Source organism: Homo sapiens, chromosome 15 (genome assembly GCF_000001405.40).
Source record: "Homo sapiens chromosome 15, GRCh38.p14 Primary Assembly".
In the NCBI taxonomy this organism is placed as follows: Eukaryota; Metazoa; Chordata; class Mammalia; order Primates; family Hominidae; genus Homo; species Homo sapiens.
In genome coordinates this window covers 80,100,696-80,113,756 of record NC_000015.10, presented here as the reverse complement: position 1 = coordinate 80,113,756, position 13,061 = coordinate 80,100,696, and the positions used below count along the sequence as shown (strand labels likewise).

The 13,061-nt window shown below is 40.2% G+C and overlaps 1 protein-coding gene across 18 annotated transcripts in view, besides 1 other annotated feature; it reads right to left on the bottom strand.

The window, feature by feature from the left end:
* Positions 1-13,061, bottom strand: part of ZFAND6 (zinc finger AN1-type containing 6) — a 79,443-nt gene that overhangs the window by 24,637 nt on the left and 41,745 nt on the right. The window contains exon 1 of one of the 18 annotated variants that reach the window (XM_047432694.1): positions 2,198-2,219. The exons of the other annotated variants lie outside the window; for them this stretch is intronic. The gene's annotated coding sequence lies outside the window, so the exon portion shown is untranslated. Of the gene's footprint in view, positions 1-2,197; positions 2,220-13,061 lie in introns of those variants that run through there. 18 annotated transcript variants of the gene reach the window in all.
* Positions 668-1,394: an enhancer, noted in NCBI's record as "H3K4me1 hESC enhancer chr15:80404705-80405431 (GRCh37/hg19 assembly coordinates)". NCBI's record gives its function as "activates a minimal SCP1, AML or CMV promoter by ChIP-STARR-seq in primed H9 embryonic stem cells {active_cell/tissue: H9 hESC(primed)}" and the evidence as "EXISTENCE:reporter gene assay evidence [ECO:0000049][PMID:30033119]".

Here is a 13,061-nt window from a genome sequence, read left to right as displayed (position 1 = left end):
TCTTCTTCAAACCCTCTTTATGCCTAACATGAACCCCACAAAATATTTTGTTGAGTAAACACACTTCATTATTGTCACAAGTATTCATGTCAGGCAAAAAACGGCTATATTCTGTTGAAAAGGGGAGAAAACTGATGTAGAATGTTTCACACTGCAATATTCATAATTTATAAAATGAAACAGTTATTCAGCAAGAATGACCAACAGCCCAAGGCAGTTATAAAATGCATACTTTTTTTCACTTCATTCTTTTTCTCCCTCCTCCCGAAAAAAATAGGGAGAAAATATAATTTATAATGATGAATTAGTCCAAAGAAGTTGTGAACTAGCAAACCTCAGTTAAATCTGACCCATAGCCATATTTGATTGGCCAGTACCTATTATTTTTTAAAAAAATTAGTTGCTAGCATTCAAAAATTGGGGAATGTCACGTAATTCCAGATTTCTTCTGTTGAAAAATAGGAAGATCTGACAATATTGGACTCATGTTCCTCAAATTAAAACCCATCAGCTAGGGCCCTACTGGGCAGAGCCTGTACTCTCCAATTCAAGACCACCTTCAATTTTAGTTATCTGACTGATCTTATAAGTTATCTTTGGCCTTTTCATTTTGGGACCTTCACTAATAATTTCAAGAAAAGAAAAAAATACACATAATATGTCTGGTTAAATAAGAATGCACATTAAGCTTTGAACTAGTACGACACCGCAACACAAAGTGTTACACAAAGGTAAGACGAGCTCCTGTCACACTCCGCCTTTTTTCAAATCACTGGAAAACTAACTGCTCAGAATGGGTGAATTCTCTTTGCAATTGTATCAAATGGATCCCAGAAGAGTGCAAAATAGGATTTGTGGTACACTCTAATTTTTTCTTATTAACTGACCAAAAGAGGAATTACCTAACTTGGCATAGGTGCTTGAGATTAGTGTTTCCTGTTGCATACAGTAATTCCGAGTTCTGAGCCTTTGGATCTCCAACTATCACATGGGTAATAAAGAGACATGAGGGATGGTAAGGAGCAGCAGTAACCTTTTTGCAGAGATGATAAAAAAAATCTGGCCAGGTGCAGGGGCTCACGCCTGTAATCCCAGCACTTTGGGTGGCCAAGGCAGGCAGCTCCCAAGGTCAGGAGTTTGAGACCAGCCTGACCAACATGGTGAAACCTTATCTCTACTAAAAATACAAAAATCAGCTGGGCGTGGTGGCACATGCCTGTAATCCCAGCTACTCAGGAGACTGAGGCAGGAGCATTGTTTGAACCCAAGAGGCGGAGGTTGCAGTGAGCCAAGATCACGCCACTGCAATCCAGCCTGGGCAACAGAGCAAGACTCTGTCTCAAAAAAATCCAGGAATGCTCATAAAGCCAACAGATCAGAAAGTATGACTTGATACAAAACACTTGGGATGAATGCTAGTCACTCTGATAAAAGTATAGGGATTTTGGACTACTGTACTGACTGTGCTTTGTAGTTTCTCTGCATAGCAGTTTTTTGAGATGGAGTTTCGCTCTTGTTGCCCAGGCTGGAGCGCAGTGGCGCAGTCTCGGCTCACTGCAACCTCTGCCTCCCAGGTTCAAGCAATTCTCCTACCTCAGCCTCCCATGTAGCTGGGAATACAGGCATGTGCCACCATGCCCAGCTAATTCTTTATTTTTAGTAGAGATGGGGGTTTCACCATGTTGGCCAGGCTGGTCTCGAACTGCTGACCTCAGGTGATTCACCTCCCTCGGCCTCCCTAAGTGCTGAGATTACAGGTGTGAGTCACCATGCCTGGCCTATACAGCAGTTTTTTCCAGATTTCTTCTGTTGAAAAATAGGAAGATCTGACAATACTGGACTCATGTTCCCCAAATTAAAACCCATCAGCTAAGGCCCTATTAGGCAGAGCCTGTACTCTCCGATTCAAGACCACCTTCAATTTTAGCTACCTGACTGATCTTATAAGCAATCTTTGGCCTTTTCAATTTGGGAATCTTCACTATTAGTTTCAAGAGAAGAAAAAATACACGTTTAGTTAAATAAGAATGCACATTAAACTTTGAACTAGTACCACAGCACAAAGTGGTAAGATGAGCCCCTCCCACTTATAAGAAAACTTTATTAAAAACTTATGAGAAAAATTTCCTTATAGCAATATATCACTATATACTTATCCTATATTGCTATATAGTTATACTGGTAAAATAAATCTCACCAAGAGGCCACTGTATTGTTTGCATCTGAAGATAGATTCTAGAAAACTTCTGATTGACATTCCTATCTTAGGTGGCTACCGGCGACTCCACCAACCTCAGATTGAAAATACAGTATTCCCAGGATGTGAAACCTGTCAATAAGGAAGACTGACTTTTCATACCCAAATGATTGGCAGGGTTGACTGCAAGAGTTAAGAACCCACAAATTCTGGTGTCTGCAGGGGTGGGATGAGGGGGGTCCTGGAACCAATACCTGCAGATACTGAGGGATGACTGATATATGTTCATCACCCAATGAAGGGAAAGGATTAGAAAGGCAATATATGTCTCATCCAAATGTGTATCCCCAGACATGATTTATATGGAGTTATAACCATGATGTGATAAATGATAGTAACACTTTTGGTACAATCCCATCTCCACTTAGAACACCAAGCTAAATATATCTGTGGTGTCTTAATTATGAAATTACTCAACAATTGAATCTGAAGGGTATCTGTATTACTGAAGCTGACAGCTTCAATCTGCCTACTATGTTTTCTTTCCTTGCTCTTTTAGATAATAGAACATCTATTTCTTGCAGGAAGACCATTTCATTTGCTTGGGTAGGCCTGACCCCTCCCATCCCAGGGCCAGGCCTGTCTCAGGGCTGAATACCTGAGCCAAGGCTGGGCATGTGAGAAGCTAAGCCTTTCACTTTTAGATCTGCAATCCATCTAGAGTTGATTTTCTTGGTATGGAATGAGGTTAAGAGTTAAGATTAATGCTTTTCTCCATATGGATATCTAATTAACCCCAAACCATTTACTAAAATGATCATCTTTTCCCTACAGTCTCATCTTTGCCCACACATTAGGCCTCATACATGTATGGGTCTTTTCCTAGGCTCTCTATTCTATTCTACTGGTTTATTTCTCTATCCTATTCTAAATTATACAGTTTTTTTTGATATCTAGTATCAGTTTTAATCTTCCTCATGATTGTGTTGGCTATTCTTGGCTCTTTGCATTTCCACATAAATTTTAGATTCAGTTTGTCAATTTCCACTTAAAAAGTAAAAACCAATAGGATTTTTATTGGAATTGTGTTGAATCTACAGATGTGCTAATACTACTGTATATCTCTCAGTTTATTTAGTTCTCCTTTAGATTCATAATGTTTTATAGTGTTCTGTGATGAGGTCTTGCATATCTTTTGGATATTCCTAGGTATTTGTTTAAAATCTACTATAAATGGTGTATCTTATTTTTAAATGTCATTTTCTGTCTGTTTGTTCCAGCCTCCTAGGTGGTCTGCCCCAATTCCCTGAGCCTCCTGGTAGTCAGGCCTCATGCAGTTCCTTCCCACATTTTATCAGTGTTGGTCTGGGAGATCAACAGAATACCATGGAAGTAATGGCATATCTTCCAAGTCTAGGGCATAAGAGACACTGTGGTTTCTGCTTTGCTTTCTCTCTTGGTAACTCACTCTGGAGAAGCTGAGGGCCATTTCACAGAGAAAGGCTCATGTGACGAGTAGCTGAGGTCTCTGGCCAACAGCTATATGAGTGAACCAGGAAGCCGATCTTCTCTAGCCCTGATCAAATCTTTGAATGACTGCAGCCTTAGCTGACATGTGAACTGCAACCTCATGAAACACTCTGGGCCAAAACCATACAGCTGAGGCCCTTCTATATTCCCAACAGAAACTGTGTGAGATAATAAATATTTGTTGTTTAAGCCAGTGAATTTTGGGTTAGTTTCTTATGCAGCAATTGATAACACAGCTTCTGGTATATATATCTCCCTGCTTCTTGCCCCGCTATACTTTATTTTCAACACAGCAGCCAGTGATCCTATTAAAATCTAAATCAATCACACTGCCTGCTTACTCAAAATCTTCCAGTGGCTTCCCAACTTACAAAGCGTTAAAAGACAAATTCTTTACCTTGACTTAAAGGCTCTTCATGATCTGGTCCCCCATTACATGACTTCCTCTTTTACTCCCCTTCCTACCATACACGTTGCTGGGTATGACAGGTATTTTCCTGTCTGAGGCCTTTGTACTTGCTATTCCTTCTACTTTCCAGAAATCCTTATGACTAGGTTCTTCACCTCCTTCAGGTCTCTGCTCAAATGTTACCTTTTTCAAGGAGGAATTCCCTTGCCACTTATTTAAAATTGTCCCCAGCATCAATTCCGGTTTTATTTTTCTTCAACGTCCTTATCCTAATCTTAATTTACTATTATATTGTGTCTCCCCTTTGCTAAAATGTTACCTCCCTAATGGCAGGGATTTTGTCCATTTTGTTCACTGATGCTTTGAATAATGCTTGGTAAATGGCAGGCATTCAATATTGATTGAATGTATGAATGAAACTGCCCTGCCACCTTACCTGCACACCACCACTAGTAGCCAAGGATTTATCCCAAGGCAAAAAACGAGAAAGGCTCCTTTTAAAGAAATTGAATTTGCTGTTTAAGAAGAGATCTAGATCTGTCAGCAAGGTGTGCCACCTATGACTATACAGTTCATGCACTGAACAAAGATGCCTGCAGGCGCGGTGGCTCACACCTGTAATCCCAGCACTTTGGGAGGCCGAGACAGGCAGATCACTTGAGGTCAGGAGTTCAAGACCAGCCTAGTCAACATGGTGAAATCCTGTCTCTACTAAAAATACAAAAATTAGCCAGGCGTGGTGGCAGGCGTCTGTAATCCCAGCTACTCTGGAGGCTAAGGCAGAAGTGCTTGAACCCAGGAGGCGGAGGCTGCAGTGAGCCATGATTGCACCACTGCACTCCAGCCTGGGCAACAGAGTGAGACTCCAAAAAAAAAGAAAAAAAACAAAAAAACAAGGATGCCTGGCCTCATGCTCCAAGCTTTTGGGCATCTTTTCCATTCAGCCTACTCAGAAAGAGGTTCATTTAGCAATGTGACTAATTTAGCATACCAAACAGTAATTCTATTAGTAAAATTAAGTTGCAGTGAATTTCATATTCTCAAACTGACCTAGGTTTCATATCACATACCTTAAAGAACAAGGCACAGTTTTTACCAGCACAAGGCCACCCAATATTCTTATTTGCAAAAAGAGGAACCCGTTCAAATTTTCCCACTGGCTTCCACATTCATGGACATTCATTCTCTTTCTTCTCACGATTACCACAGATTGATCGATCTATCTATGGCTTTTTATTCCCTCTTTGCCCTTAAAGCTTTTAATTCAACTATGTAGACTTTGTACTTCCCCCCAACCCCTCCACCCAAAACCTTTTAAAAAATCTCTTCTCCCCCTAAGGTAAATCTTCAATTGTAAATGAATGTCCTTCCCTAATTTTAAAGTTTAATATATGGTCATTCTCTAAATTTATATCTTTTCTGCTCATGAAACTGCACATTTTTTACAGAAGAAAACTTGCTTTACCATTTACTGAGCAATACTTATATAGAACTTTATGTGCCAAGCACTTATAAATACCAATCCCTTTAATCCTCATAATAGTCCTATTAAGTAGGTACTATTAGCACTCTCATTTTACAGAGAAATAAACTGTTCAAGGACACACAGCTAGTAAGTGAGGAGCTGGGATTCAACCCAAGCAGTTGGCTGGAGTCCACACTCTAAATCAGTAGTTCCCAAAGCGTATCTGTGGACTCCTGGGGATTCTTGAGATCCTTTCAGAGGTCCTTCCCCCTCCCCGCTGCCCTCCCAACCCCATCTTCTCCCCTCCCTTCCCCTCTCCCCTCTCCTCTCCTCTTTTCGACAGAGTTTTGCTCTTGTTGCCCAGGCTGGAGTGCAGTGGCACGATCTTGGCTCACTGCAACCTCCGCCTCCCAGGTTCAAGTGATTCCCCTGCTTCAGCCTCCTGAGTAGCTGGGATTTACAGGTGCCTATCATCATGACTTTTTGTGTTTTTAGGAGAGACAGGGTTTCACCATGTTGGCCAGACTGGTCTTGAACTCCTGACCTCAGGTGACCCACCCGCTTCAGCCTCCCAAAGAGCTGGGATTACAGGCATGAAACACTGCGCCCAGCCCCTATTTTCATAATAACAAGAACTTGTTATTCGTCTTATTCACTGTGTTGACATTTGCATTGGCAGTGTAAAAGCAATGAAGGGTAAAACAGCTAGAGCTTTAACATGCCATCAAGACAGCGGCACCAAACCATACTATAATAGTACAGTTGTCGTTATATGACAAGGAGATGTCACATAATATGGTGATGTCATTATGTAATGACTACCTAATAGTAGTCATTATATTCATCACCATACTCTCACAGTTAAAAAACAAAAAACCAGTTTCACTTGCTGAGTATTCCTGATGAAACAAATTATTTTTACTAAATCTATTTTTTTTTTGACACGGAATTTTGCTCTTGTTGCACAGGCTGGAGCGCAGTGGCGCAATCTTGGCTCCCTGCAACCTTTGCCTCCTGGGTTCAAGTGATTCTCCTACCTCAGCCTCCCGACTAGCTGAGATTACTGGCGTCCGCCACCATGCCTGGCTGATTTTTTTGTATTTTTAGTAGAGACGGGGTTTCACCATGTTCATCAGGCTGGTCTTGAACTCCTGACCTCAGGTGATCCACCCACCTCAGCCTCCCAAAGTGCTGAGATTACAGGCGTGAGCCACTGCGCCCGGCCCTTTTATTAAATCTTGATTCTGATTACACTTCATTGTATTTTTCCTCTTTCACCTATTTTGAGATACGTCACCCCAGAGTAAAGCCTTCCTCAATCTAGTTTCTTATCCACATACTGGAAACTGAAGTCTCTATCCTTGCAGAGGTTTTTGGCACACAGTTCTTAATTAGTCTCCCATTTCAGGGAAAAGGGTTACTGAGGAAAAAGATACCTACACAAATTCAGAGGAAAACAACTTACTTGTAATAACACTGTCCTTCAACATGAATTAAAATATGCATAATGAGCAAATAATAAGTTTCTAGGCACAAAGAGCCTATAATATGGAAGCAAAAAAAAAAAAAACAAATTTAACATACTGAAAAAATTATTTGGTTTTTTCAGAGTTATATTCCCAGCACTCTAGATTAGGGCTGGCAAATTTTTTCTCTAAAGCACCAGAGAGCAATTATTCTAGGCTTTGTGGGCCATAGAGTCTGTCATAACTGCTCAATTTCGCCTTTACAGTAAAAAAGAAGCCACAGACAATAAGTAAATGAATAGGAATGGCTGTGTTTCAATAAAACTTTTATTTACAATAAGGGGTGACTAGAATGGATTTGGTGAGTGGGTCATAGTTGGCCAATTCCCGCTCTAGATTAATGCCAGGCACATAGGAGGTACTCAAATACATGCTGGATGAATAAATGATTTCACAACTATTTTGGTTAGAGATATTATCAGGAAAGACATAGCAAAATTCCATGACTATAAGCAAGTACTTTCTTTTGTCATAGCTCTTTGTTCAAGGATATCTTGATAAACTTATCGTACCTATCACTCCGCTAGCTATTAAACACTGTAAAAGATATTTAGGACACACAGTTCTGCTCTCATCAATGTAGGTACAAGAACAGAAATACTAATGTCTGATTTTCACGTATCTGCACAAACATCACATCTAACTCCAAAATTACAACTTTATTAGCCACAAAACCACAAAATGTTAAGTATCAAAACCACAAAGTTTTAGAATACACCACTCTCACTTCATAGAGGTATATAAAAATGGATGCCAGAAATGATTGCAAGATACTTCAGAAACTGATTTTCTTTCAGTTAAAACGTAACACACCTTGTAGGGATGACTAACAAATGCATCATGAAAGGAAGTTTAACTACAAATCACTGCAAAACAACTGTTATATATACAGGGACAACTTGATATGTAGTAAAAAGAAAAAAGAACTGACTCATCTTCAAGTTGGTTGTGAATATAAACTTCCTACTTAGATAAGTGCTTAGCCTGAAGTACTTCATTTAAGATAGTTATGATGCCTGTCCTTTCTAACTCATAGAATTTTGAGGGGGTCAACTGGGACGGTGATTGTGAAAATACTTTAACCCGTAAGTTGCAATATAAAGCTCAGTTCAGAATTGGGTGGCTTATTTAAGTCACATATCTGCAGTTCATCATGAGAGAGAGAGGTTCAAACTGTCCACTATTTAATAGTAGCTGCAGTCATAAATCCAAGACTCCTTATTTACCCATAGCTCACAAAGGGCAGGTTCATAAAAGTTCTCCTTGCCACAGAGACAGTAATCACCTGTTAGGAGATCTGTGAATAGGCCTCACTTCCACCTGAGATGATACCGTTTTTTATTAAAAGTGTGATGGAATGGTTTCTAACATCCTCCTCTCAAAAGTTTATAAAATGATGTATCAATTACTCTGGATAACTGGCAACAAAAATTTACTATGTGCTTACGCTCAATATTTATAACTGTAAAGGAAGGATAAAAGCAAGTATGTGGTCTACCAGGGGAGACTTCTGTGTGCCTAGACTACAGGATAGTGGGAAATGATCTTAGAATAAGGCCACATCACAAAATCTGTGTTTCCATGATAAGGAGTCTGAACTTAAACCCACAAGCAACAGGGAATCCCACCACCTTAGAATGAAAAGGGGAGCTTTTTAGAACAAGTGCTGTTCACTAAATATTACTGTTTTTTATATACTTTAAATTGCTCTGAAAAGAATTCTAGGTGACTTTAAAAATGCATGCTGTATGATATCAAAAGTAGGCAAAAATAGTCAATCCAAGTAAAAATGGTTAAAAAAAAATAAGTTAGAAATACTGTCAATAAATAAAATGTATGCCCATAAAGGCCTATTTGCTAATTGGAAGCCATTCAACTCTATTCTTTCAAGGAGCTAATGCAAAGAAGAATATGACTACTTAAGAAAAACAAAATCAGCGACTCAAGAAAAGTACAATGAAATATTACCCCAGATAACATAAGAGGATTTCATCTATAGTTTACAACAAGTAAAACACAAAATGATATGGTCAATAATACCTGAAAAGTAAAATGTAAGTTTCTGGGATGGATGGATGGATGGATGGATGGATTGACTGACTGACTGATTTGAGACAGGGTCTCACTCTGTCGCCCAGGCTGGAGTGCAGTGGTGCGATCTCGGCTCACTGCAACCTCTACCTCCCAGGATCAAGCGATTCTCCTGCCTCAGCTTCCCAAGTAGCTGGGATTACAGGCACACACCACCATACCTAATTTTTGTATTTTTAGAAGAGACGGGGTTTCACCATACTGGCCAAGGCTGGTCTTGAACTCCTGACCTCAAATGATCCACTTGCCTCAGCCTCCCAAAGTGCTGGGATTATAAGGCGTGAACCGCCCACCCAGCCTCTGGCTATTTAGTTCTAATATAAATCAATAGTCTCATGGCCACCTTCAGTTAACAGCCAGTCTTCATGGAGTGGAGCCAGAGTTAAAAATAAAATCCGGCCAGGGGCGGTGGCTCACGTGTGTAATCCCAACATTCTGGGAGACCAAGGCGAGAGGATTGCTTGAGTTCAAGACCAGCCTGGACAACACAGTGAGATCCCCGTCTCTACAAAGAATAAGAAAATTATCTGGGTGTGGTGGTGCACAGCTGTGGTCCCAGCTACTCAGGAGCCTATGGTGGGAGAACCGTCTGAGCCTAGGAAATTGAGGCTGCAGTGAGCTGAGATCACACCACTACACCCCTGCATAGGTGACAGAGCAAGACTCTTGTTTCTTAAAAAAACAATAATAATAATGAACTTATCATTCAGGCTTATCATTTAGGCAATCCTTCATAAAGTTTATTTCTCCTAAGTGTCTGCTTTTGTTCTATCAAAGATTGCTGAGGCAGAGGAAAAGGGTAGGGAGAAAGCAGACTGAGAAGGCAGAATGGGTTACAAATTTCTGCTTCAAATAGAATAGTTCATTTTTGGTGTTTTCACATACCTGGTTTCTGCAAAAGATTTCAATTAAATAAAGGGGCTCAGATGGCTAAAAAATTTGGACACTTTAAGTTCTTGATTAAGAGCAAACTCAACAATGCTCAACAGTAAGCCAATCTGAGGTCGGGCTGATATACTATACCATGAACACTTCAGAGCATATCTAGGCCGCTAGTTACAAGAGTTAAATTTCAGTCAGGCACTTTGAATTGAGATGTTCTGAGTGAATATCCACAAGTTACCAATTAATCCCACCAAATTCTCCAAATTTTTTCCCTAAATTAAAAAAACCAGGTAAGGAAACTACACAATTAGGTATGTATTAGAGTAAGTGCTCACTGAAAATGTCTACTCACTATTATGTACTAGGCCCTGGGCTAAGCACTTTATATAGATTATCTGACTTAGGCCTCACCAAATCTGTATAAGGAAGGTAACATTCTCACACACGTTCCTTTGTAATCAGTTGAAGAAACTGAAGTTACACATGCCATTCACTGCCTCCCTACTAACATTCCCTTCTAAGACAATCTGTATACCTATAAATCAGCTCTTGCTGACCTTTTAGTACCATGGGATAAACCCTCCAGACAAGGTGATTAGACCTGGATGAACACTGACCCGATGAACCTATCTAAAGTCATGGATGGAGGTGGGGAGGAGACAGAATAGCACACACATAAAAAGTACCAAGGCTATATACTTGCAATTCAATTACATATGATTTTCCAAAGATTTTTAAAATAATCCTTTTTTCTTTCCTTAGGTAGAATGGATTTCTATTTCCATGTGTTCTGGTCCCTGACTAGAATCCAGTAAACAGTGATTTCTTTTAGAACATAACATTAATAGCTTGTTCCTATCCTTTGGTATCTCCCCTAACACCTACACTATTTCTAAGCACAAAGTAAAAGTGATTATCAGTGCTGAAATCCAGACTACTTTTAACCTTTAGTGGAATCATCTCAAACAGATAAATTTATCTCACAATAAAACCACTAACTGAAACCTAGTCCTTCCTGAAAGACTCTAAATTAATGTGCCACCCATAACATTGCTAGTCTTCAAAGGTGCTTCTAGATAAGAAATCTACTAGCATTTAAATGTAAAAATCAGTTTTCATCTCCATATCACATATAAACAGATGGCTCACTTTAATCTGAGAAGCAGTCACTGACAGACTTCAATACTTGCAACACTGCTTGACTCAACTGTCAATACCTTTATTCAAAAGTAACTGCAAGGCTGGGCGCGGGGGCTCACACCTGTAATCCTAGCACTTTGGGAGGCCGAGTGGGAGGCGGGTGGATCACCTGAGGTCAGGAGTTCGAGACCAGCCTGACCAACATGGTAAAACTTTGTCTCTACTAAAAGTGCAAAATTAGTTGGGTGTGGTGGCACACGTCTGTAATCCCAGCTACATGGGAGGGTGAGGCAGGAGAATCATGCCACTGCACTCCAGCCTCGGCAACAAGAGTGAAACTCCATCTCAAAAATAAAAATGAAAAATAAAAATAACTACACTATAATAAATTTTATAAATTGTTTAAAAATCACTTTATGGCCGGGCGTGGTGGCTCATGCTTATAATCCCAGCACTTTGGGAGGCCGAAACAGGCGGATCACGAGGTCAGGAGATCAAGACCATCCTGGCTAACATGCTAAAAAACCCCGTTCTCTACTAAAAAATACAAAAAATTAGCCAGGCGTGGTGGCAGGAGCCTGTAGTCCCAGCTACTCCGGAAGCTAAGGCAGGAGAAGGGCATGAACCCAGGAGGCAGAGCTTGCAGTGAGCCGAGATCGCACCACTGCACTCCAGCCTGGGCCACAGAGCAAGACTCCGTCTCAAAAAAAAAAAAAAAAAAACACTTTACATAAAACCCAGAGAAAATACACCTAACCTTCACCAAGATTCTTGAAGAAATATTTTTTGCTTCCTCTTCTCTTTCTTGGTGGAGTTATATCTGATACAAGAACCAATCTTTCATGTTCCAGACAAAGAGAATTGTGTCATCAATAAATGTCATGTTTAATGCAAATACATTACCTAGTGAAACCAACTATCTAGAACAGTGTTGTCCAACACAGTAGCCATCAGTCACATGTAGCTACTGAGAATGTGAAATGGGGCTAATGCACACAGCAGATTGAGACAGGAAGGCAGGGGAGTAAAGATTTTTTCTTTTTTTTTCTTTGAGATGGAGTCTTGCCTTGTCGCCCAGGCTGGAGTGCAATGGCGCAATTTCCACTCAGTGCAACCTCTGCCTCCCGGGTTCAAGCGATTCTCCTGCCTCAGCCTCCCGAGTAGCTTTGATGACAAGTGCCAGCCACCATGCCCGGCTAATTTTTTGTATCTTTAGTAGAGACGGAGGTTTCATTATGTTGGCCAGGCTGGTCTTGAACTCCTGACCTTGTGATCCATCCGCCTTGGCCTCCCAAAGTGCTGGGATTACAGGCGTGAGCCACCACGCCCAGCCGGGAGTAAAGATTTCTATTCTACTCTTCTTGAGATGTTTCTTATGATACCTTAATTGAAAATATCCTACTTTGTAATGTTCAAATTCTTAATCCTAAAGCCTTAAAATCTATTATTTTGAGCATTTATAATATGCTACCTAGTATTCCTCCTCTCAAAGAACAAACAGGTTTAATAATGATAATAATTTGCAAGCACTGATGATTCACTCAACCTCACAATATCCCACCAGGTAGCAAATTATTACTGTATCTATTTTACAGATTACACAACTGAGGCCCAGGAAGGTTTAAGAAATTTGCTCAGTATCACAGAGATGTTAGAAGGGACAGCTAGGATCTGAACTCAGGCAGCCAGACTCTATAGCCTGTGTACATGACCATGTTACATGGCCTTATATAGCCCAAAAACTTCATTTTAATATACTGCATTATACAACAGTAAAACAAGCTCAAATACATTTAAAAATCTAAGCAAAACCAAATG